The 25168-nt window shown below is 48.1% G+C and overlaps 1 protein-coding gene and 1 long non-coding RNA gene across 11 annotated transcripts in view, besides 1 other annotated feature; both read left to right on the top strand.

The window, feature by feature from the left end:
* On the top strand, window positions 1-18030 carry RNF216-IT1 (RNF216 intronic transcript 1). Its single transcript, NR_046834.1, has 3 exons — window positions 1-108; window positions 13758-13852; window positions 17897-18030. It is a non-coding gene; the product is annotated as an RNF216 intronic transcript 1 (long non-coding RNA).
* RNF216 (ring finger protein 216) overlaps window positions 1-25168 on the top strand; it is a 161617-nt gene that overhangs the window by 101202 nt on the left and 35247 nt on the right. Inside the window, exon 14 of one of the 10 annotated variants that reach the window (XM_047420528.1) lies at window positions 11156-11262. The exons of 8 other annotated variants lie outside the window; for them this stretch is intronic. In XM_047420528.1, the coding sequence (XP_047276484.1) occupies window positions 11156-11262 (107 nt within the window). Of the gene's footprint in view, window positions 1-11155; window positions 11267-25168 lie in introns of all 10 variants that reach the window. One more of the 10 variants, XM_047420527.1, reaches the window with a different exon arrangement.
* Window positions 100-199: an enhancer, noted in NCBI's record as "active region_25605". NCBI's record gives its function as "activates an Ori minimal core promoter by ATAC-STARR-seq in GM12878 lymphoblastoid cells {active_cell/tissue: GM12878}" and the evidence as "EXISTENCE:reporter gene assay evidence [ECO:0000049][PMID:35858748]".

Below are 25168 nucleotides of genomic sequence, written 5' to 3'. Positions count from 1 at the left end.
CCACTGCTCTCCAGGCTGGCGACAGGGCAAGACTCCGTCTCAACAACAACAAAAAAAGAAGTGTTGAGTAACCAGTGAGCTGACAAGCCCACCACGTGGAGGACTCGGGTAGGAGACTTGGGCTTGGGGGAGTGGATCGCATTCTATGATGACAGAGCTAGCTGGGGGCAGGGCGGGGGACAAAGGAACCACTTCCCTGTTGGACCTTGAAGGCTGCATTAGAGCATGAAGAGACTTCCGGAAGAGGACACAGAGTGTTAAAGTAGAGGGGAGCGTGTGTTTCCAGGGCGAGCTCTGAGGAGGCTGGAAGCTTCAGGGCCAGCTCGTGGGGGAGATGTCCCTTGTGTGAAGAACGTGGACTTCTTCCTGATTGCAGCAGGAAGTCTATCCATGGTCATTAAACAGGGTAGTGAAATGATCAGATTTAGCTTGTCACATGATTATTCTGGTAGCAGAGGACTGAGGATGTAATGATCCCAGCAAGAGACTCCCAGGACCCTAAGGGACTCGCTGTGCATACAGGGTCCCTATTGTGTTTCTTAAAGCCGACTGTGGAGCCGCCTGGCTCACCTGCCCAGGGACTCTGGCCGCTTAGCAGAAAGGCGGGTGAGGGACCTGGAGGAGCATGATAGTCTCTCCTGCTGAGGGTCTAAAGATGCTCATTCCCACAGGGCCAGTTGTTAGAAATGCAGGCACTCACACAGATACGCTCTTCTCTCAGTGGTGCCTGCCTTTCTTTTTTTGTTTAATTGTTCCTTGCAGTAGCACATTCCATGGGAGATTCCATGACAGGGCTATTCTCTCGATTTCAGTGGTTTTGATTTTGTGTCTGTTGTCATAGCGCCTGGAGCTAAGCCTTATCAAATAATTGCACATCTGGTGATCACTTAGGCTTCCAGAAATGTGAGGCAGGGAGGACCCTCAAGGGACTCTGGTCAGCACTCCTACTGCTGAGAGGCTTCACCGCATTCCCCCAGACTCACCAACAGCCTCGTTACACTTGTTACGGTGTGTGTGCACCAGTGCGCTCAGCGCCTGCATCCTCACAACCCAGCCCCTTGTGAGGCTGGCCGGACCACAGCTTGCCCTGTTCTGCACCATTCTAGGGCTGAAGGATTTGCCCAAAATATGTCACTAGATGGTGACAAACAGGCCCTTAGTCCAGTGCCTTTAGCAGGGGCTGGCTGGAGCAGCATGGCCATGTTCAGATGCCTGTCCCACCACTTGTTAGCTGTGTGCACCGCCCCCCCGCCACCGCACCACCACCACCCCTACCCGAGGGTGACAGGATCCTCCTGAAAAGTCTGTTAGGAGGATTAAATGACTTGATAACTAAGATGTTTCATCCATAAGCACTCAATAAATGGTAGCTGCTGCTGTTATTCATTCCACTGTATCTAATCTCTGTACTCTTAAATTTTACAACTTTACTCAATAACTTTTAAAATATTCTACACTTGTGGCTCCCATAAATTTCCTCTTTGCTCTATTGAGGCCATTTCTAGTCCCTGTGTGATCAGGGTTATTGGAGAGCAACTGATAAACCAGCCATGCTCCCCACTTCCTCTCTAGGAGCTCGGCCTCCTCAGCTTGTCTGCAGACCTTTGCCTCTTAATTTATCCAGTCCAGCTCTCATGTCTTCCCTGATGAAGTGGAGTCGAGAAATCTGCTCCGTCACCTTCTGTGTGAGGAGCAGCCTCTGCAGCTTGTCCCACTGCTGTAGCTCTCACAGTGCAGGGTTTCCTGGAAGCGTGCTTGGAGGGTAGCAGGCCCAGGAGGCACAGTTGTGACTGGAGCCATGGCAGAGCAGCAGTTGATATTTGTCACTACGAGTGCCGGCCTCCTTATAAGCACTCCTTTTATAGATAGGGAAGCTGAAGCTGGGAGAGGTGAGGTCACTCACCTGAGGTCACTTTAGTAAGTAGCCATGGTGGACTACTCAGGCGGGCCCAGAGCCATTTTCCTGACCACCAGGTCATGTGGGGACGCCAGGTGGCATGAATCTCTGAATCTCATTTTTCTCTGCGCTTGGGGAGGTGGTAACGTAGGTCAGTCCTTGGCGATGGTTAGTTCCCTGCCCAGGGCCTGTCAGCCTTAACATTCTTCTGATCCTGTTTATGAAACGCAGGTAATATATTGACATTGCAGAAGCTCAGAGAACATAATTGAAAGTCTTGTAGATGGCAGTAAAATGGGAAGATTTTTCAGACTGGTTTTCTTATTGGTCTGGTGAGGAGCTAAAAGTTACAGCAGGCGGTCAGCAGAGGGCCCCAGAGCCTCAGAAGTAAACCTAGATTTGGGCACATGCCTGAGTATTGGCAAATTTATGTAGCCGGGGCCCTTTGGCTCCACAGTGGGGCGTCAGGCATTGGAGTGCACATCTCTGAACTGGGAGGAAACCTCAGTACCACCAAGACGAAGACAGGTGTGTAGGAGAAGGTAGAATACCAAGAACAGTCGCAAAATCTGGTTACCCCCTGGAAAGATCACTGTGGTCTTACTGCTCCAGTTAAGAGTGTGGGTGTGTAATAACAGGGCTGGGGCTGTGTATGTAAACCAGGAACCTGGAAGAGAGCAAAGAGCTGTTTTTCTAGCTCCCTTACATTCCAGTATCCTCCTTCCCCTGATTCTACTGGATTCTGATTTAGTTACTCTAATGGTCTCTGCATAGACAACCCTTCCCCTTGGGCAGACTCTGATTCCTAGGATTTCCTGAGCAACACTCCCAGGACTCTGCACAGGAAGTGGAGAATGAGGTCAGGCCAGGACTGGAAGGGGATTCACCTACTCTCATAGCGATTGAATGGTAATTCCAGACCTGTTCTTAGTCAGTTCTTTCCAATCTGAGGATGCTAACACAAATATAAAAGACAGACAAATGGTTAAGCCCAAAGTGCTTAGGATGGTCCCTTTGTAAGGGTTTGCCATTATTATAATTTACCAGAAGCCATATAAGTGGCCTTTCGATATGGCTTGGATCTTTTATTTCATTTTTTCTTCTAGTTTTCCTTTTTGTTTTCCTTTTATAGAGGAAAGCCTGAGAAAATGGCAAGAAAACCAAAAGAATATGGTTCTGTGATTAGTAGTCCAGTCTTACAATGGAGATAATTTACCTAGTGCCCACCTTTAGTGAACGCAGATGGCATTGCCCAGACCACCCATACAGTAGAGCATGTAACATCCAGAAGCAAAAGACAACAGCAGATAGCGACTCCTTGGCTGATGTTGCAGAAGCACGTGCTGAGCAGTCTCTAAATCACATGTGTTTGCTCTAAAATTAACACCTGGACAAATTAGAATTAATGCCATTAGAAAATGAAATCACTTCTGTTTTCCACACTATGTAAACCATACGTCAGAGTGCCCTAAAAACAAGGGAGATGTATGTGGTCTGTAGTGGTATTTCTCTTAGGTCAGGCCACTAGTTAGTTCTCTTACGAGGTTCGTTTCATGTGGTTGGTGGGTTTTGGTTTGGTTTGGCTTTTAAGGAACAATAACCCTTCCCTATGGGAAATAATGGGCCTTGGATGAGGTTATGTCCAGTGTTCACTGGTCCCATTTTGAAGTGCCCCAGCTGGATGCACACCTGGTCATAGACCCAGGGCCAGCCTTGAATCTAGCCTGGGACAATGACCAGAGAGGAAGTGCTTGGAACCTGAGTCCAGTGGCTTTTCTGTGTCGTGGCTCAGGTTGCACTGTATGTTTAGGAGTTTTCTTTCTCTCCCAGTTGTTAGGCCGGAAATGCCATTATTCCTTAAGAATAGGGGCATAGGGGGCCCAGACTTTTCAGCCGGAAGCTGCTCCTCCCAATTGTGTGTGTATTCCCCTGTGGTGCCCCTCTAATGTCCAGGTATCTTTTGTGTGCCAGGAGCCCCATGAGAGCTGTGTTGGTCACACAGCCAGGCAGACAGGACGGACGGGAGACTGTGAGGAAGCAGAGGCCACTGGCTTGGCCTGAGTACTCAATGCAGGTGCAGCTCGGTGGGGTTCCCCAGCGACAGTTCTCACAGATGGGGCTTGACTTGGTTCAGAATCATACTTTTTGCAACTGCCGTCAGCACTTTTAAGGGCAGCTTTGTTTTGTGTTAAAAGTTTGCATAAAATTATAAGGTATATAGCTGGAGAGAAAGAAATTTCTTTGGCATGGAAAGAACTTGAGGCTGGCCGCGGTGGTCAATGCCTCCCACTTTGGGAGGCCAAGGCGGGCCGATCACTTGAGACCAGGAGTTCAAGATCAGCCTGACCAACATGGCAAAACCCTATCTCTCCTAAAAATACAAAAAAATTAGCCGGGCCTGGTGGCATATGCCTGTAGTCCCAGCTACTTGGAAGGCTGAGACGAGAATCACTTGAACCTGGGAGACGAAGGTTACAGTGAGCCGAGATCGCGTTGCACTCTAGCCTGGGCAACAGAGCAAGACTCTGTCTCAAAAAAAAAAAGAAAAAAGAAGAGGGCCAGGCGCAGTAGCTCACGCCTGTAATCCCAGCACTTTGGAAGGCTGAGGTGGGCGGATCATCTGAGGTCAGGAGTTCAAGACCAGCCTGACCAACATAGAGAAACCCCGTCTCTACTAAAAATACAAAATTAGCCAGGCATGGTGGTGCATGCCTGTAATCCCAGCTACTCAGGAGGCTGAGGCAGGAGAATCTCTTGAACCCAGGAGGCGGAGGTTTCAGTGAGCTGAGATCGCACCATTGCGTTACAGCCTGGGCAACAAGAGCGAAACTCCACCTCAAAAAAAAAAAAGAATTTGAATAGAGTTAGCGCTATAGGCTTCATGACCTTGCTCCTTTGTTCGTTTGTTTGTTTGTTTGTTTGTTTTGAGAGGGTCTTGCTCTGTCACCCAGGCTGGAGCGCAGTGATGTGATCCTAGCTCACTGCAGCCCGACCTCCTGGGCTCAAGCAATCCCCCTGCCTCAGCCTCCTGAGTAGCTGGGACTGTAAGTGGGCACCACTACACTCAGCTAATTTTTTTAAATTTATTTTTCGTAGAGGGTGTCTTGCTTTGTTGTCCAGGCTTGTCTCAAACTCCTGGCCTCAAGTGATCTTCCTGCCTCAGTGTTCCAAAGTGCTGGGATTTACAGGCATGAGCCACTACACCATGCCAAAGTCACACCTCCCCTGTCCCCTGGGATATGGCCCAGGAAAGCCTGTCCCCTCTGGGGCTTCTAATTCTTGTCTGTGCAGAACCTAGCGTGTGTGCAGAGGGATAAGAATTGAATGAGGTGATGTCTGTGAAGTGCCCAGCATAGTAACTAGCATACAACAGACTGTTAGTAGTTGGTACCTTATTTGAGCGTTCCAGAATCACTACATTGTTCCCTGCCATTATTTAAAATAAAAAATTCACCTTTTAAATTGTGGGAGCTCTGCTTTAGTTACATATGAAGCTGGCTTTTCAGCAGTTGCCATTCTGTACCGACATTTGCTTTATATATATATATTGTTTGTTTGTTTGTTTTTTGAGACAGAGTCTCTCTCTGTCGCCCAGGCTGGAGTGCAGTGGCGCGATCTCAGCTCACTGCAACCTCCACCTCCCTGGTTCAAGCAATTCTCTTGCCTCAGCCTCCCGAGTAGCTGGGATTACAGGTGCGTGCCACTATGCCCAGCTAATTTTTGTATTTTTTAGTAGAGATGGGGTTTTGCCATGTTGGTCAGGCTGGTCTTGAACTCCTGATCTCAGGTGATCTGCCAACCTCGGCCTCCTAGAGCCACATTTGCTTTAAAGACCCCCCGCTTTGCACAACTATAAATGAGTGAGTGTCACCTCTTTTTGGACTAGTCTCCCCAGGAATTCCCAGCTGACTTTTTTCATTTGTTTTGTTTTGTTTAGTTTTGAAACAGAGTCTCTGTTGCCCAGGCTGGAGTGCAGTGGTGCGATCATAGGTCACTGCAGCCTCGACCTCCTGGGCTTAAGTGATCCTCCCACCTTGGCCTCCCGATTAGCTGGGACTACAGGTGTGTGCCACCACACCTGGCCTTTTTTTTTTTTTAAGAGATGTAGGGCTGGGTGCAGTGGCTCACTCCTGTAATCCTAGCACTTTGGGAGGCTGAGGCAGGCGGATCATGAGGTCAGGAGTTTGAGACTAGCATGGCCAATGTGGTGAAATCCCATCTGTACTAAAAATTTGAAAATTAGGCACAGTGGCTTACGCTTGTAATCCCAACACTTTGGGAGGCAGAGGTGGGTGGATCATGAGGTCAGGAGTGTGAGACCAGCCTGACCAACATGGTGAAACCCCGTCTCTACTAAAAATACAAAAATTAGCTGGGCGTGGTGGTGGGTGCCTATAATCCCAGCTATTCAGGAGGCTGAGGCAGGAGAATCGTTTGAACCCAGGAGGCGGAGGTTGCAGTGAGCCGAGATAACGCCATTGCACTCCAGCCTGGGCGACAAGGCAAGACTCCGTCGTAAAAAAAAAAAAAATTGAAAATTATCCAGGCATGGTGGTGCACACCTGTAATCTCAGCCACTCAGAGGCTGAGGCAGGAGAATTACTTGAGCCCAAGAGGCAGATGTTGCAGTGAGCAGAGATCATGCCAGTGCACACCAGCCTGGGCGATAGAGCAAGACTCTGTCTCAAAAAAAAAAAAAAAAAAATGAGAGAAAGAGAGAGATGGAGGTCTCTCTATCTTTCCTAGGCTGGTCTCAAACTCCTGGGTTCAGGTGATCCTCCTGCCTCAGCCTCCCAAAATGCTGGAATTACAGGTGCGCACCACTGCACCCAGCTAATTTTTTAATTTTTTTGTAGAGACAAGGTCATGCTGTGTTGCTCAGGCTTAATATTTTTATTTGCTGTGATGATATGGGGTGTTTTATTCTCCAGATCTAGCCAAATGGAGAAATTCCTTGCAGACCCTCATTCTGGGCTGTGGTCTTGGCCTCCTGCACTTGATCCTGCAACTTGCTCTCTTCCCTGCATACTGCCCCACGTGACAGGTCAGCTTTGCTGTTCTTCACATCACCCCCAGTTGGAACCTGCAGTGGCTTCTAGAGCCTTTGTCACTCTTGTTAGTCTGGCCCCTTCTTCTCTTCTCGCAAACCAGGCCAGTCCCCCACCTGCCTGCCTGTTCTTGTAGATGCTTTCTCCCACAGAGCTATCTCCAGCCCACTCCATTCTGTCGAGCCTGTTCTTGAACAGCAGCTCCACTGACAGGGCCACGCTAATTACCGTAAGCAGGCAGGGTAGATAGGTGGGCGGGGAGAGGCCATGCTGTACACCTTGTGGCTTCATAGAAGAATCTCAATAACCACTGACTTCCCCCGCTTGGGGTGGTGCTGGTGACCAGTGCGGTACTGCCCGCAGGTGGGGCATTTGGTGTTGTAGAGGACACATTGGTCTCCGGAGGTCCAGAGAGTGGTGGGAATGCCCACACCGTGCACATAGGCCCCCACCACCCTGAGTCGATGGAGAGATGGATACACCCTGCCCCTGCCCCGTGTCTCTTGTTAAGACACAATACATCTATAAACCGCAGATCCTGAGCTGTAGCCAGGACATCTCAGTACTTTTTTTGTACATTTTCCAATTTCAAGACATCCCCCTTGGTCAAACGATAGAATCCAGTAGGGCTCCTCAGCATTATCCTGGGAGTGTGCTGCCTGTGTCCCTGTGTCCTAGAAAGCCCCAGCTCCTCGCCTCCCAGTGCTCTACAGCATCCTATCTTGAGTCCTCCCTCATATCCATCCTCTACCTTGCGCTGCTCACCAGGAAGACCACAGCAGCCTCCTCACTGGCCTTCTCTGTTCCAGACTCATGCTCCATACCAGCACCAGTGTGCTTATGTGATCACATAAGTATTTATGCGATGAGTCTTTATCGTCGGGTACCAGCAAGAGAATGTATGTAAGTGGATAAAAATGTAATTCAACATGTGTTTTATGAATTCTGGAAACCTCTTTTTATTCTCAGAACATCAATTCAAAGTCCATCTCCTGTTGAAATTCATCAGTGGGTTAAACTCCGAATTGTCTTGATGCTACAAGCACTACATCATGTGTGTGTAGTTTCATTCTAAAGTCTGGTTGCTTCACTTCTTGTTATTAAATTTAACAAACATAACTCTCCAACTTGGCGTTTTTGCAGAGTGGGATCCTTTTATATAAACATTAGTAAAGACCAAAGTAACTGATATAACTACAAGATTATCATTCCCCCAAAGTAAACATGTATTTAGGGGCAGCTGCTTCCAGGAAGCCATGTGCTCTTCTGGATGGAAAATAAATCGGTGGCATTCTTGGTTTTCTGGGACTTAGTCCCAGTCTCTACAGCCTGCTTTCCATCTGTCTCCCAGAATCAGGACTTAACGTCTCCAACATGTATGAAGAAGATCAGAGGGCACAGCGTGTGCACAAAGGGGCGGGAACTTCTCTGATCCACTGCCATCTACTCCTTGATAGTCATCAATGGCCACTGTCTTGGTCAGCTCGGCTGCCTTAGCAAAATACCAGACTAGGGGCTTATATATGCTGTCAGTTTTCCTACAGTTTTGGAGCTAGAAATCTGAAATGAAGTTGTCAGCAGATTTCGTTTCTTGTGAGGCCCCTCTCCTTGGCTTGCAGAGGACTGTCTTCGTGCTGTGTCCTCACATGGTCTTTTCTGTGCACTCCTCTGGTGTCTCTCTCTGTCCTTTTTTTTTTTTTTTTTTTTTTTTGAGACGGAGTTTTGGTCTCTTTGCTCAGGCTAGAGTGCAGTGGCACAATCTCGGCTCACTGCAACCTCCGCCTTCCAGTTTGAAGAGATTCTCCTGCCTCAGCCTTCCAAATAGCTGGGATTACAGGTGCCCGCCACCGCGCCCAGCTGATTTTTTTGTATTTTTAGTAGAGACGGTGTTTCACCATGTTGGTCAGGCTGGTCTCGAACTGCTGACCTCTTGATCCGCCCGCCTTGGCCTCCCAAAGTACTGGGATTACAGGCGTGAGCCACCGTGCCCGGCTCTCTCTGTCCTTCTTATAAGGCTATCAGATTGGAATAGCGCTCACCCCATCAGCCTCATTTAATATAATCACCTCTTTAAAGTCCCTGTCTCCAAATACAGTCATTGTCCAAGGTGTCAGAGTTGAGGGCTTCACATATGCATTTGAGGGAGACACAGTTCAGTTCATAACAGCCACAGATAAATGATGTGTCTTTTTAGCACGTGTGATTCAGTTGGGAAAACAATAGAAAGCAGGAACAGTTACCACTGGGCTTAGAGATGAGCCAAAGGCAAGTCTATTCAGGCATGAGCAGCTGGGTCCCCTCTGTGTTCATCAGGATTTCCAGCCTTCACATGGGCACATGGAGCAGTTGCTGAGCCTAACTAGAGCACAGCTTAGGGAGCCTGGCAAAAGGCATATTGCCTCTGGTGAGGTTTTATCCTGTTGTCCATCTGTGTTATTTAGAGCAGTTTCTGTAAAGAAAAAAGTATCGTTTGTTGCTATAACAAATGATATTAGCAACATCAGAGCAGGCTGCCACTCCGGCAGCTCCCCCGGAACCAAGCAGTTCACAGAAAACACTCTAGGCCTCCTAGGGAAGGGAGAGGCATGGTGGTTCGTCTTGGGAAGACCTTGAGTCCTGCCTTCCCAGGGTGGACCCTCACCCCTGAAAAAGGCTACAGACGGCCTCCTTATATGGCCACCACTACAAGTTCCTCCCGGGTAGGCCACATAACTGGAACTGAGAATTTGGGCTATGGATTAAGGCTGAAAACACAACTCAACAAAGATGAGAGGGAAGTCACATTTCAACATACTGTGTTACGAGACCCAGTTACACCACCTTAGCTGTACTTTTGCTTCCAAAGGTCACCTTAGGTTGTCGGACATGAAGAAACTAATGAAGCAGTAGGGGTGGAGATTAAGCATGCTTTGGGGTCAGAATGGTGAGGGGCATACCATTAATTTCTTGCTCATAAACATTTCTGTGAAATGATGGAATCTCCTAAGGTTTGTTTCATACATGATTAACTGTACCAAAAATTTAAATCCAAGAATAAGCAAAAAGAGGAAGTAAAAGACTTTTTTTACCCAACCACCAGTTCAGCACTCTCCTCTAGTTCTGGGTGTCTCCTTTTGGCAGCCCCTCTATGCACATCAGAGGAGCCCACTATCACATGGCTGGGTCCTCTGCAGTCGGGCAGCAGCACTGTGGTCAGGCATGTGTCATCTCAGGGGAGCAGTGCATGTGCAGGAAATGGATCCTGAAAGTCTCACATCCAGGTTGTTTATGAAAGTGATTTCCAGGGCAGGCACGGTAGCTCACGCCTGTAATTCCAGCACTTTGGGAGGCCGAGGCGGGTGCCTCACTTGAGGTCAGGAGTTTGAGACCAGCCTGGCCAACATGGTGAAGCCCCGTCTCTACTAAAAATAAATAAATAAATAAATAGCTGGGCATGGTGGTGCGTGCCTGTAATCCCAGCTAATCGGGAGGCTGAGACAGGAGAATTGCTCGAACTTGGGAGGCAGAGGTTGCAGTGAGCCAAGATCGCGCCACTGCACTCCAGCATGGGTGGCAGAGCGAGACTCCATCTCAAAAAAAAAAAAAGGATTTCCAAACGCACCATCCACAATCTCACTTACTTTCTTTTTTTTTGAGATGGAGTCTTGCCCAGGCTGGAGTGCAGTGGTGCGATCTCAGCTCGATGTTATCTCCACCTCCCAGATTCTAGCAATTCTCCTACCTCGGCCTCCCGAGTAGCTTGGATCACAAGTGCACAACACCATGTCGGACTAATTTTTGTATTTTTAGTAGATGGGGTTTTGCCATGTTGGCCAGGCTGGTCTCAAAACTCCTGACCTCAAGTGATCCGCCCACCTTGGCCTCCCAAAGTGCTGGGATTACAGGCGTGAACCACTGCACCTGGCCAACACAGTCTCAGTTTCAACAGTGATATCTGGCAGATTTGATACAAAGTTTAGGTCTTGATTTAGAAGCATGAACAGACCCCTCACCTCACTCTCTAGCATCTTTTGGTCTCTTACTGCTAAATCTGTCAATATAATCTTTCACTTGAGGCAAGATGGAGTGATGATTTCATAAGCATTGAGTAAACTCTGCCAGTCTTTTCAGCCACACTGAAAAGAATGGATAATGAGTGTGTCAGCCTCCCTGTGATTGCCAGTGGCAAAGATTGGTCTTCTAAAGATCTCATCATTTCTTTTCTAAATAGAGGTATCAGAGGATCAGCAAAACCAAGACCTGGATCAAAAGAGGTCAGAGCTTCTCAACTTTACTATGTGTCGGAATCAGAGATCTTGTCAGATGCAACTCTGCTTAGTAGGTATAGCTGGAGCCCGACCGCCCATATTCCTCTCAGGCTGGCAGGTGCAGACAGTCCTGCCCATCCTGCATAGCACGGGACTGGGTGGGATAGTTTCCACCAAGGGGGGCCATCTGTAGCCACCTGCCTGCGTTGAAATACTCTCTAATGCTCTTTATAATATTAGGTCCACAGAACTAAAAATCACTTATGCTCCTGCTCATATTCCTGGGGGAGATGACTAGATTTCGGCTGGATAAGAGCCCTGTGGGGATGAGTGAAGGTGTGAAAGTAGTCACATCTAGAGGCATCAGGTGGATAGTATGCTAACTAGATAGTGTTTTACTATTTCCCGTAGTAAAGATATGGGGAAGATACACCGTGACTAGAACGCCCAAATCTTGTGAACCAGGAGAATGAAGGGCATGAAGCCCTGGAAGGGCAGGCAACAGCAGACCCCGGCTACTTCCTAACAGCGTTCTTCCTCGGGACTGGGATCTCTGGCCCTGCTTCTGAGCCCTCCACTCTGGGTGTCTCCCACCTATACTTTTTATCATTCTTCTGTGTCGAGTTGACCCTTTTTTCCTCCCTCCTTTGACCCTCATCCTCAGTTCATATCTCCTGTCCCCATGAGAGGCTTCCCTTTTTGTCACATTTCACTAGCAAGGAGGGAAAGATTAAAAGTCCGCTTTGTGGCCTGGCACGGTGGCTCACATCTGTAATCCCAGCACTTTGGGAGGCCGAGGCGGGCAGATCACGAGGTCAGGAAATCAAGACCATCCTGGCTAACACGGTGAAACCCCGTCTCTACTAAAAATACAAAACATTAGCCGGGCGTGGTGGTGGGTGCCTATAGTCCCAACTACTCGGGAGGCTGAGGCAGGAGAATGGTGTGAACCTGGGAGGCGGAGCTTGCAGTGAGCCAAGATTGCGCCACTGCACTCCAGCCGGGGCCAACGGAGCGAGACTCCATCTCAAAAAAAAAAAAAAAAGTCCGCTTTGCTATTTACTCTGAGAAGGGATTTGATTTTTATGAGAATGTGAAAAACTACCAGGGGCAGCCGCTTTTCTATGCCTGCTATATAAACAGTACCTTGCAAGATGTCCTGTCTGATATCCACAAAGGGGTATTGTCAACCCCAAGTTCAGACAGCTTTGTATTCTTCTGTCCCTGGATACATGAATTACTGCCATCTTTACACAGCGCCCTAAAATACCAACGCGAAGTTACCTGCTCAGCTTGAAGCTGCGCTGTACCCTGGAACCAGCACTTCTGCTGAATGACTCAGGATGAAGCCTCGACTTCCTCCTTCCCATCCCATGCCCAGACCCCAGTGGCTCCTTTCCCCAATCTGATCCAGTGACTTTAAGTCCAGCTGTTGTCAGCCTGGGCATGAGGAGGAGTGTCAAGATGGTCTTTGTCCTACCTGGAAGGAGGCTTCCTGGAATCTGCAGCCTCTCTTCCAGGGCATGCTGACAGTGGAGTTCCAGCAGGCAGGAGCTGGTTTTGCTGGCTGTTCCTGCCAGGCCAAGATTCCCAGCAAAACCCTGGGAAGCCCAGAGGTAGCCCAAGCAGTGAGCAAAGACAAGGTCAGCCTGGCTTGTTTCTGCCCAAGTGATAACAGTGTTTCTATTTGACAGTTTGAAATGATTAGATCTGCTTCCTATGCATGGCCCTGCTCCTGCAGGATGGAGAAGGCTGGGGGGTTCCCCTGGTTCCCGGGCATTGTTCCTTATCAGCAGAGTCACCTCCAGGGTAACTAGAGATGGGGCTGGTTTTCAGTTCCTGGCAGTGATCCTTGGGACTTCCTATTGTGAGAATGAGCCTTTTGGTGCCTTTTTAAAGAAACTTTAATTCTGAATGAATTCTAAATTAATGGCTTTTAAACTTTTTTGTTTGTGACCTATAGTAAGAAATATAAATTACCATAAGCTTCATCCAAACATAAATAAATATAGGTGGAACAGAAACAGTTTTATAAAACAAATACTTGACACATGGAATGTGCCCTAGTATTTTTGTTCTAACTTTAAATCCACTAGTCATAATCTACTGAAGTGACTTTACAACCCACCATAGGGCCACAGTTTATAGTTTAAAAGTCATGGCTGGCCAGGCACAGTGCCTCACAACTGTAATCCCAGCATATGGGAGGCCGAGGCGGGTGCATCCTTTGAGCCCAGGAGTTTGAGACCAGTCTGAGCAACATAGCAAGACCTGGTCTGTACAAAAAATTAGCCAGGTATGGTGGCATGTGCCTGTGGTCACAGCTACTCTGGGCACTGAGGGGGCAGGATCACTTGAGCCCAGGCTTGAGCCCAGTGAGCTATGATGGCACCACTGACTGCACCCCAGCCTGGGTGACAGAATGAGACCCTGTCTCAAAAAAAAAAAAAAAAAAGTCATTGCTGTAGTAACTTCGGTTCCACAACCTGTATTGTATGGAGCATCTATGGGGAGCAAATCCTTTGGAAGGGGCTTAGTCACAGCCTCCCCTCCTGCCCTTTCCAGGCTGTGAGAAGCTCGGCAGGAAGGCGGGAGAGGCCCCACCTTCAGAGGCGCAGCTCAGAAGGCTTGAGAGCTCCCCGTGAAAGGGATCCCTGCAGGTGGGGTTCTTTGGGAATCAACCTCATGCACAGCCATTGCAGAGGCTCTTCTTCAGCATCTGTTTACTCTGGGCTCAGGCCCCAGGCAGCCTGCAAACCCAACCCTCCTCTCCACCTTACAGCTCTGCCCACCCTGCTCCTCCCTGTTCCTGGTGCCTGGAATTCTTTCCCCCAGATAGCACCAGACTCTCTCCCTCGCCTTTCTTAAGTCTTCACTTACATGCACCTTCGCAGAGAGGCCTTCCCTGACCACCAGTTTATAATCGTGAACTATTTCCCCCTCTCCACCCCAGTGCATTCTTCCTTTATTTTTTTCTCCTCAGCACTTACAATCATGTCTTAACTGTATATTACACTTAATGTGTGTCCCCACTGCAGAGCAGGACCCATAGTCCTTAGTAGGAGCTCACATACTGGTTTCGGATTTTTTTTTTTTTTTTTTTTGAGACGGAGTCTCACTCTGTCGCCCAGGCTGGAGTGCAGTGGCGTGATCTCCACTCACTGCAAGCTCTGCCTCCCAGGTTCACGCCATTCTCCTGCCTCAGCCTCCCGAGTAGCTGGGACTACAGGCGCCCGCCACCACGCCCGGCTAATTTTTTTGTATTTTTAGTAGAAACGGGGTTTCACCGTGTTAGCCAGGATCGTCTCGATCTCCTGACCTCGGGATCCGCCTGTCTCGGCCTCCCAAAGTGCTGGGATTACAGATGTGAGCTACCGCGCCCGGCCTTGGTCTTGGAATTTTTATATAAATGTCCACATGATGCCATTGCCTAGGCGTTGCTGATATAGTCTCGGTGATTCTGTTAAACAGCCATTCGAGAGAAACAGTCGTCTGTATTTGAGTAACTAAGGGAATTGGTAGTTTTGTTTGTAGTTACTATGATAAAGATAAAATTGAACTTTGATTTATTCCAGAAAGACTTTACCCTCCCACTCTGTCCTCGAAGCCCTGGTCCCCATAGTATAGTAAAAAGCCGGCAGCTATGTGTGGTCTCTCCCAGAGCAGTCAAGCTGGTGTCTCGGTGCCTTGTAACTTTCCATCCCTAGGGGGCAGCATTAGCACAGAAACCACATATAAAGCTTCTATTCCAATTTGTCACCTAATCCTGGTGGCTCAGGGAAAGAACTTTTCTAATCCACAGAAATAACACTTCAAGATTTCTTTTTTCAAAGCCTGGTTCTGTACATAGAAATGGTAGGTGAGGTGTGTATGAAAACAAAAAATATTTAAGAACAACATGAAATCTTCCCCAAAGAAGCCCTTTCCTCAGGACTAGGGAGTGAGGTGGGGGAGGCTTTGTAATGGTTCCCAGAGCTCTCACTTGGCCACTCCCAGATTTGAATTTCTGCATTTGGAAATGTAAAGGTTCTCCTTCCTTTGAGAGATGATTTACTGTACTTTGAGGATAGAGAGGAATCCCCTGCATGGTGAGCTTGGCTTCTTAGATGTGACATAATCAGATCATTACAAGACACTGTTAGAAGAATTCATGTTAGAATTTTGTGTGTCCTGGCTGGGTGCGGTGGTTCGTGCCTGTAATCGCAGCACTTTGGGAGGCCGAGGCGGGCAGATCACCTGAGGTCAGGAGTTCAAGACCAGCCTGGCCAACGTGGTGAAACCCAGTCTCTCCTAAAAAATACAAAAATTAGCCAGGCCTGGTGGCGGGCGCCTGTAATCCCAGCTACTTGGGAGGCTGTGGCAGGAAGAATTGCTTGAACCTGGGAGGTGGAGGTTGCGGTGAGCCAAGATTGTGCCATTGCACTCCAGCCTGGGCAACAAGAGCAAAACTTCATCTCAAGAAAAAAGAAAAAAAAGAATTTTGTGTGTCCTTTAAGAACTGGACCCAGGCAGTTTGGATTATCTTGTTTCTGGGAGTGCAGAGGAGAATGCTGGCCAGTGGGGGAAGCGTGCAGCCTACCCTTGGGCGGCAACTGGCCTTCCACAGCCCCTGGGGGTGTTGGGGAGAGCCAGGCTGGGACACAGGCAGAATGCGCATTTCCAGTCCTGACCCCTCTAAACCAGAAGTTCTCTTGGGCACACATTTTCAGGGTCTACTGTTTGTGAGCTCCTTTTATCCTGATTGAAGAGAGATCAACTTCCATGTCTTGAAACTACAGGAGAAAATCAACAAAGAACATCCTAATTGAAACATATGCAGTACTTTCTCACACCATCTGCAAGCATTTGGTCATTAGCTGCTTGGTAATAACTGCTGTTTGTAGTTTAACTCATTAAATTGGGGAAAGACATTAGGGAGCAAAGAAAGGAAGGACAGTAACTCATCCTTAAGGCTGAAGCTGTAATGAATTAACCTGAAAGGGTCGTATATATTAATAATTTCATTTTCTCATAAAATACTTGGCATAATTATAAATAAGACCCAATAGGGAGGAAATAATGTTCTTTCAGAGAGGAGATAGATACGCTTTTTTTGCCCATGGAAAGTACAAAAAAACAACTCTCTGCATGGAGAAGATGTGCTTTGTCTTGCCAGCCTCCAGCTCAGACATTCAGCACCTTGTGCCGCTCAAATCTAGTGCTAGGCCCTAGAAATCCAAAGATACCTGAGATGTACGGTGGTTGATTACGAGCCCCTCCAGGTCAGGAATTCTCCAGGCTTCATCTCCATCGCATCTCCATGTGGCACAGAATAGGCACTCAAGTGAACTTTTTTTTTGTTTTGGGGTTTTTTTGTTTTGTTTTGTTTTTTTGAGACGGACTCCCTCTCTGTCGCCCAGGCTGGAGTACAGTGGCAGGATCTCGGCTCATTGCACCCTCTGCCTTCTGGGTTCAAGTGATTCTTCTGTCTCAGCCTCCTGAGTAGCTGGGACTACAGGCGTGCGCCACCACACCCGGCTAATTTTTGTATTTTTAGTAGAGACAGGGTTCACTATGTTGGCCAGGCTGGTCTCGAACTCCTGACCTCGTGACCTGCCCGCCTCAGCCTCCCAAAGTGCTGCGATTACAGGCACGAACCACTGTGCCCGGCCTCAAGTGAACTTTTTTTTTTTTTTTTTTTTTTCCTGAGGTGGAGTCTCGCTGTGTCGCCCAGACTGGAGTGCAGTGGCGCAATCTCAGCTCACTGCAAGCTCCGCCTCCCGGGTTCAGGCCATTCTCCTGCCTCAGCCTCCCGAGTAGCTGGGACTACAGGCGAACGCCACCACACCTGGCTAATTTGTTTTTGTGTTTTTAGTAGAGACGGGGGTTTCACCGTGTTAGCCAGGATGGTCTCGATCTCCTGACGTCATGATCCACCTGCCTCGGCCTCCCAAAGTGCTGGGATTACAGGCGTAAGCCACCATGCCTGGCCAAGTGAACTTTTTTTTATTGGATGAATTGAGCCCTCCATGCCAAGCCTGTCCATAGTGACCAGCAGGACGTCATCTTTGCCGCAAGGAGCGCCTGGCATTTGGAAAAGATGTGACATAATCAGATAATTACAAGACGCCACTAAAAGTGCAGTAACAACGCATAAGCTAAGTGCTGTGGGAGCCCAGTGAGCAAGTGCCAGCTCTTCCCGGGTCATTTGGGTTTCCCAAGCCACTGGTATTTGAAAGGAGAACTGGTGAGTAGGTGTTGCCAGAGGAGAAGAGATATTCTTAGGCAAAATGTTGTGCCATTGAGGGCATAGGGGGTGTGGGTGCTGGATTCTCTGAGCGCTCTGTCCTGTCCCAGCTCCGTCTACTGTCCTGCTTGCATTCCCTGTACCTGGAACGCTTCTCTACCAGATAGCCTTCAGGCTCAAGCAGAAGTGCCAGCTCTACACAAGCCTTCCCTGACAAACCAGTGTCAGATGGCACCCTCCCTGTTCACACTGCCTGCCCCCTACCTGGCTTTAGTTTCCTCTGAGGTACTCACCATCTTCCTCAGAGTATACAGTTATCTGTTTGTGAGTAGACTCTAAGAGGACAAGGGCTTCGTTTTATACCGATCCCTCTCTCTGGCACTGATGGAAGGCTCTCAGCGGCACTGATGGAAGGCTCTCAGTGGCACTGGTGGAAGGGGCAAGGGTGGGAACATGAGAGTGTCTTCATTCCTTTCAGTGCAGAAACTGTCTCTGTTACCTGCATTGCTCTGAACAAAACCGACCCAGAGCAGTTTCAGTGATGGTGATAATCTCAAGCAATGCCATTACCAAATCTTAATGCCCTGATCCTGGCCACCTTTGAGGAGGTAAGTGGCAAGTATTTACAAGTAAGCGTCCAGGGGCTGGTTGAGGGAGTGACTATGGAACACTTTCATGGAGCCTATCTCTGTTTATGCGGTAATGGAAATCTAAAAATGGACTTCCTTTTGCTATACCGCCAGACATGCAACTGCCCAAAGGTGGCAGGAACAGCTACTTCCTCACACGTGTCCAGTCTGAGATCACCCTGTGATTAGCAGGTTCCTATCGTTACCAGTAAGAAAGGGTATCCTCAGGTCTGATTCCATCCCATCCTGCCTCTTACTGAGCCATTCGCAGCTCTCCAGGAAGCAGACATCCTGCACAGCTGCAGCTGCACGGCCATGCCTTTGATGCCCTGATGCTCACACCCAGATTTGCTGATTGTTCCTCTGTGGTCTTCTCACACAAGATGCCATTGTAACCTCAGCTTGTCTCATAGCCACGTGCCCTTGGGTTCTCCAGTAAACAGTGACCTGCTTTCGCTAGCAAACGCCATGTGGGCACACAGTGGGACTAGAGTAAGAGCAAGTGGATTTGGGATCAGACAGACTCATGTCTAAAGCTCTGTGACCTCGACCAAATTAATTGGACCCTCTGAGCCTTCTTTTTCTCTTACCTTTTTTGTTTTTGTTTTTGTTTGAGCAGAGTCTCATTGTCTCGCCCAGGCTGGAGTGTAGTGGCACAATCTCAGCTCACTGCAACCTCTGCCTCCCAGGTTCGAACGATTCTCATGCCTCAGCCTCCCAAGTAGCTGGGATTATAGACTTGCACCACCACGCCTGGCTAATTTTTGTATTTTTTGTAGAGACGAGATGTCACCATGTTGGCCAGGCTGGTCTCAAACTCCTGACCTTAAGTGATCCACCCTACTCGGCCTCCCAAAATGCTTGGATTACAAGAGTGAACCACCATGCCCAGCCGTATTTACTTTTTTAAAAATGGGAATAATTCTCCAGTACTTCCCTGTAGAGTTGCTGTGAAGATTGAGATGTGTATGCAAAGCACCCTTTGTGAAGATGTGTAAGTTTTCAGTCCTAGCAGGTCTCATTTATTTCTTTAACAAAAAACCTAAGCCTACAAGCTGGGCATGGTGGCGCACACCTGTAAGTTCAGGCTACTGAGGAGACCGCCATGAGCTATGCTGGCGCCACTGACTGGGCAATAGAGTGAGACCCAATCCCTTCGAAAAACAGCCTGCAGGGGCTGGGCGCAGTGGCTCATGCCTGTAATCCCAGCACTTTGGGAGGCCGAGGTGGGCAGATCACTTGAGGCCAGGAATTCAAGACCAGCCTGGTCAATGTGGCGAAACCCTGTCTTTACTAAAAATACAAAAATTAGCCGGGCATGGTGGTGCATACCTGTAATTCCAGCTACTTGGGAGACTGAGGCATGAGAATCTTGAACCCTGGAGGCGGAGGTTGCAGTGAGTCGGAATTTACTCCAGCCTGGGTGACAAAGCGAGATGCTGTTTCAAAAAAAAAAAAAAAAAAAAAAAAACCTAAGGCTTCAGGAGCATGGAGCTAGTACTGTGAAAAGCAGGAGTTTTAGACCTCTGTTAAAGATGTTCCCCAGGCCAGGCATGGTGGCTCACATCAGTAATCCCAGCACTTTGGGAGGCTGAAGCTTGCGGATTGCTTGACTCCAGGAGTTTGAGACCAGCCTGGGCAACATGGCAAGACCCCATCTCTACAAAAAATTAGCCAGGCATGGTGGTGCACACCTGTGGTCCCAGCTACTTGGGAGGCTGAGGTGGGAGGATCGCTTGAGCCAGGGAGGTCGCGACTGCAGTGAGCCAAGATTGTGCCACTACACTCCAACCTGGGTGACACAGTGAGACCCTGTCTCAGTCAATCATTAAAACAGGGCTCCATGCCTGTAATCCCACCACTTTGGGAGGCCGAGATGGGTGGATCACCAGGTCAAGAGATGGAGACCATCCTGGCCGACATGGTGAAACCCTGTCTCTACTAAAAATAGAAAAATTAGCCAGGTGTGGTCGCGGGCGCCTGTATTCCCATCTACTCGAGAGGCTGAGGTGGGAGAATCACTTGAACCCAAGAGGCAGAGCTTGCAGTGAGCCGAGATTGCGCCACTGCACTCTAGCCTGGTGACAAAGCGAGACTCCATCTCAAAAAAAAAAAAAAAAAAAAAAAAAAAAAAAAAAAAAAAAAAAAAGAATTTAAAACAGGGCCGGGCTCTGTGGCTCATATTTATAATCCCAACAGTTTGGGAGGCCATGGTGGGCAGATCGCTTGAGCCCAGAAATTTGAGAGCACCCTGGGAAACATAGCAATACCTGTCTGTACAAATAAAATAACAAAATTTAGCTGTGGTGGCACGTGTTCATAGTCCGAGCTACTCGGAAGATAGAGGCGGGAGAATTGCTTGCACCCAGGAGGTCAAGGTTATAGTGAGCTATAATGGCACCACTGCACTCCAGCCTGGGCAACAGAGCAAGACCTTGTCTCTAAAAAAAAAAAAAAAAAAATTAATGAATGTAATTAAAATATTAAGAAGAATAGTAATAAAGTCCCTTTCTGAAGCCATATCAGAAAATGTGGTTCTCTTCTTCTTAACAAAAAAAGTACAGGTGTGCTGCTATTGCCCCATCGCAGGTTAGCCTTTCCTGCCCCTGCCAGGCTTGGTGTTGGCACACCTTGTTTCAGGAAGTAAGCTGTGCCCTTATTTATGGAGGACTGTTGAGGAAATCTAAGCAAGAATCAAATCCACACTCCGAGCCTGTTCCCCTAGAAGTTATTTACTTGGCCTTAGTTTAGAAAGGGGGTGCTGCAAGGTCCTACAACCCCAGCAAACCATCCCTTTAACAGTAGCAGCCAGAAGAATCTTTTGAAATGTCAACCAGATGCTTGCATTTCCCACCTGGTCAGCCTAGCTTTCCAAACTCCTTCCTATAGCCTCAGTCCTACTGGGTGACCATGGTCCATTCTCCACTCTCCCCCACTGGGCTCCAGCCATACTGACTTTCTCAGCATGAGACGGACCCTCTCCTGCCCTGAAGCCTTCACCCTTGCTCTTCCCTCTGTACCCATACCTGGCCGACTCCTCCTTTAGGACTCAGCTTAAATGTCGCATCCTCTGACTAGGCCCCTAGTGTCAGTTAATATCTGTGTTTTTCAGTAAAACGTAAATGTCATGAAGATAGAAACTGAGCCTAACTTGTTTATTGCTGTATCTCCGGTGTCTCATACAAATGACAGAAATTCAGCAGATACTGGAAGAGCACATAAATGAGTGAATAAGTAAGCTGGTCTGGAACTAAACTCGCCTCTGCCTCCCACCGTCACTCAGATCTTATTCTGCACCACTTGATCTAAGTTCATGTTTCCACCAATCTCGCTAGTGTCCTACATCAGAAGCCTAGAAGTCTTTCTAGGCTTCTCTCTCACCCTCATCTCTTTCATAGACTCTTCCAGTTGCTTCTCAACCATCTTTCTGTCTTTGGTCTCAAGCTCACTAATTAATGGAAGTATTCTGAAACATAACTCCGACACATTGCTGCACTCTCCAGGCCTCCTCCATGGCGCTTCAGTATTGAGAGCGGCAGATGTACAATTTTATTGCTTGCCGTATCAGAAAAATTGTGCAGAGGACACCCCCAGCGTATGTGTTTATTTGTACGTTACATGTGTGCTACTGTTGTAACATAACATGGCAAAACATACACAGATACAGAAAATTTAAAAGGGTGTAATGAAATAAATCATACTTTAAAATATACTGCTTTATTCAAGTCAGTTAAAAAAATTTTTTTTTTTTTTTTTTTTTGAGACAGTCTCTCTCTGTCACCCAGACTGGAGTGCAGTAGCTTGATCATAGCTCACTGCAACCTCCACCTCCCAGGCTCAAGAAATCCTCCCCCTCAGCCTCCCAAGTAGCTGAGACTACAGGCACATACCACCACAGCCAGCTATATTTTTGTATTTTTTGTAGAGATGGGGTCTCACTATGTTTGCCAGGCTGGTCTCAAACTCCTGGGCTTACGTGATCTGCCCACATCGGCTTCCCAGAGTGCTGAGACTACAGGCATGAGCCACTGTGCCCGGCCCAAAATAATTTTATTTAATGAGATGAAAACTTTGTGCTTATTAAAATAGGAATCTTTTGAACTATGTTTCATTGTTGGAATGTTTGGTTTGAGCATCTGGTTCTGAGGTTCAGATACTTGGCTTTAATGGCTGTCATTGCTGGAAAAGCGTTTCACTAAGACGTAGATCCCAGTAGGAGAAGCACTTTATTGGTTGCATGGAGGTTCTGATTACTCATGGCACTTACTGTAGTCAATCCCATGAAGATGTCAGCTCCGCAAAGAATCCTTGTCTGACTCACCTCTTTCTCCTCTGCATGCACATGCATGCTCCCCTGCCGTGTGTGCGTGCACATTACACTGAACCCCCATTATGCTGTGCTTGATTTGCCCCGATATGTAACTCTCTCAGTAGAGTGCACTCCTTGAGGGCAAGGACCAAGCCTTCTTCGGCTGTTATGTGCATTCTTGACCTAGGAAAAATAGAGGTTCTTGGATTCCCTTAGTAAAAGGAAAGAAAGTTCACTGAATCTACCTGAGCTTTGACTTTGCTGAACTTTATTGATTCTCAGGGGTTGCAGCATAAACTCCTGAGATTTAAGGGGTTCCATCTTAAAATCAGTGTCTTTCTGGCCTTCTGTATGTCATTTGGGCGTATGGGTGGGGAGGACCAGCATCTTTGACAACTAGAAGACACAGATGGCCTGGAAGCCCACGGTCCTGTGGTCCCTGGCTGAGCATTTGCGAATAGTCAAGTGTGTGGGCCTTTTACCTCAAGAGTGCTGGAGATTTATAGTCTCACCATTTTATTTTATTATTTTTTTTTTTTAGACAGAATTTCACTCTTGTTGCCCAGGCTGGAGTGCAATGGCAAGATTTCGGCTCACCGCAACCACTACCTCCTGGGTTCAAGCTATTCTCCTGCCTCAGCCTCCTGAGTAGCTGGGATTATAGGCATGCGCCACCACGCCCAGCTAATTTTGTATTTTTAGTAGAGATGGGGTTTCTCCCTGTTGGTCAGGCTGGTCTCGAACTCCCAACCTCAGGTGATCCACCTGCCTCCACCTCCCAAAGTGCTGGGATTACAGGTGTGAGCCACTGCACCCGGCCCAGTCTCACCATTTTTTGAGGTGACAGAACAGAGAGCTGAAATTTCTGAAGCTACTTCTGGATTGGCAACAGCGTAATGCCCTGTGGCATGTCAGTGACTTCTCTCCCCCTAGAGAGTGAGTTGACAGGTTTCACTGTAGGAACCATTTAAAAGTAAGGGAGCAGTTTGTACTTTGTTCTGCTTCTGAGACAAGGCTGGATGGAAGTCAGCAACTGAAATCTAGCACGCATGGGGACGGACACCTTCCAGGTGGCTTTGCAAGGAAGGCAAGGAAACAAACACAGAACCCGGTGACTTTGGCCTGTGGGCTCAGATTTTCTTTTGGATTCTTTGCCAACAGACCCAAAGGTCTCAAGATTATTATCACACTTGCTGGGCTTGGAGGAGGTGGTGGCCGGATACATTTGTCTACTGGTTCTTGAGAAAGCTGTTTATGTGAAGAAATTTCAGCTCCCATCATGATAGGGTCATCTGGAATTGAATTTAATCTTCTGCTTTATTCATTAATCATTATTCAGGCAGCAGAAAATGAATAAAGGAAGACGGAAGTGCTTTCTTTATATTGCAAAGTGAAGACCTCATGAACAGCCAAAACACCTTAATGTATTTTGAGGACAAAAGGGCATCATAAACTTAACCAGCAACCTCCATGATGACGTGAAGAACGTGGCCTGGCGGGCTACTTGTTAACAAACTACCCAGCATGCATGCTCCTTCCCCCCTGAGAGGGCGGGAGCTGCTTGCCTGCTTACTGTATTTGGGATGACGGTGAACTCCGTGGTTTCCCCCAGTCGGAAAGGCACAAGGGGATAGAAAGTGTGGTCCCGCGCGATGGCCACGATACCCTGTTCTTCATGTTTTGAGGTTACTCGTCAAAGTGTACTTTGCCTTCCAAAATGGCCCTTTGGGGCTTTCTTGTAAACCACAGATTGAAGAATGTGGTTATCATGTTAAACATGCAAGAGTCTGGGCGCAGTGGCTCACACCTGTAATCCCAGCACTTTGTTTGTTTGTTTGTGACTGAATCTTGCTCTGCCGCCCAGGCTGGAGTGCAGTGGCACCATCTCAGCTCAATGCAACCTCCACCTCCTGGGTTCAAGCAATTCTCCTGTCTCAGCTTCCAGAGTAGCTGGGATTACAGAAGCCCGCCACCATGCCCGGCTAATTTTTGTATTTTTAGTAGAGATGGGGTTTGACCATGTTGCCCAGGCTGGTCTCAAACTCCTGACCTCAGGTAATCCGCTCCCCTCAGCCTTCCAAAGTGCTGGGATTACAGGCATGATCACTGGTAGTCTCAGCTACCCAGGAGGCTGAGGTGGGAGATCGCTTGAGCCCAGGAGGTGGAGGTTGCAGTAAGCCGAGATCACACTACAGCACTCCAGCCAGGGTGACAGAGTGAGACCCTGGCTCAAAAAAAAACCATTCAAGAGCGTTTCTTCGTAATATGCGTAAGCATTTGCTGAGTTTAGGAGCAAAGCCTAGCTGTGCCTGAGAGGAGAAAATTACAATTTAGTAAAATTTACACTGTTTAGAAGAGAGAGTACATTTTAAAGACACTACACAGAGAGAGCTCCAAATGTTAAACTCCCCAGCCTGGTGTTTGCTTGCCTTATTTTAATTGTGGGTTTCATATCTAGCTACATGGTCTGGTCTTGTCTTTTTTTGTCCCCCCTTTTTTTGAGATGGAGTCTTGCTCTGTTGCCCAGGCTGGAGTGCAGTGGTGCGATCTCTGCTCACTGCAACCTCCGCCCCCCAGGTTCAAGCAATTCTCCTGCCTCAGCCTCACAGGGATTGCCTCAGCTGGGATTACAGGCATTTGCCACCACGTCCAGCTAATTTTTGTATTTTTAGTAGAGATGGGGTTTCTCCGTGTTGGCCAGGCTGGTCTCTAATGTCTGACCTCAGGTGATCCCTCCGCCTCGGCCTCCCAAAGTGCTACAGTCTTTTCAAAAGACGTTTCAGATATGTTCTCCGGGACCCTCGGGCCCTTC

This window comes from Homo sapiens, chromosome 7 (genome assembly GCF_000001405.40).
Source record: "Homo sapiens chromosome 7, GRCh38.p14 Primary Assembly".
Lineage (NCBI taxonomy): Eukaryota > Metazoa > Chordata > Mammalia > Primates > Hominidae > Homo > Homo sapiens.
The sequence above is the reverse complement of the archived record's forward strand: the minus strand, read 5'-3'. Positions and strand labels throughout refer to the sequence as shown.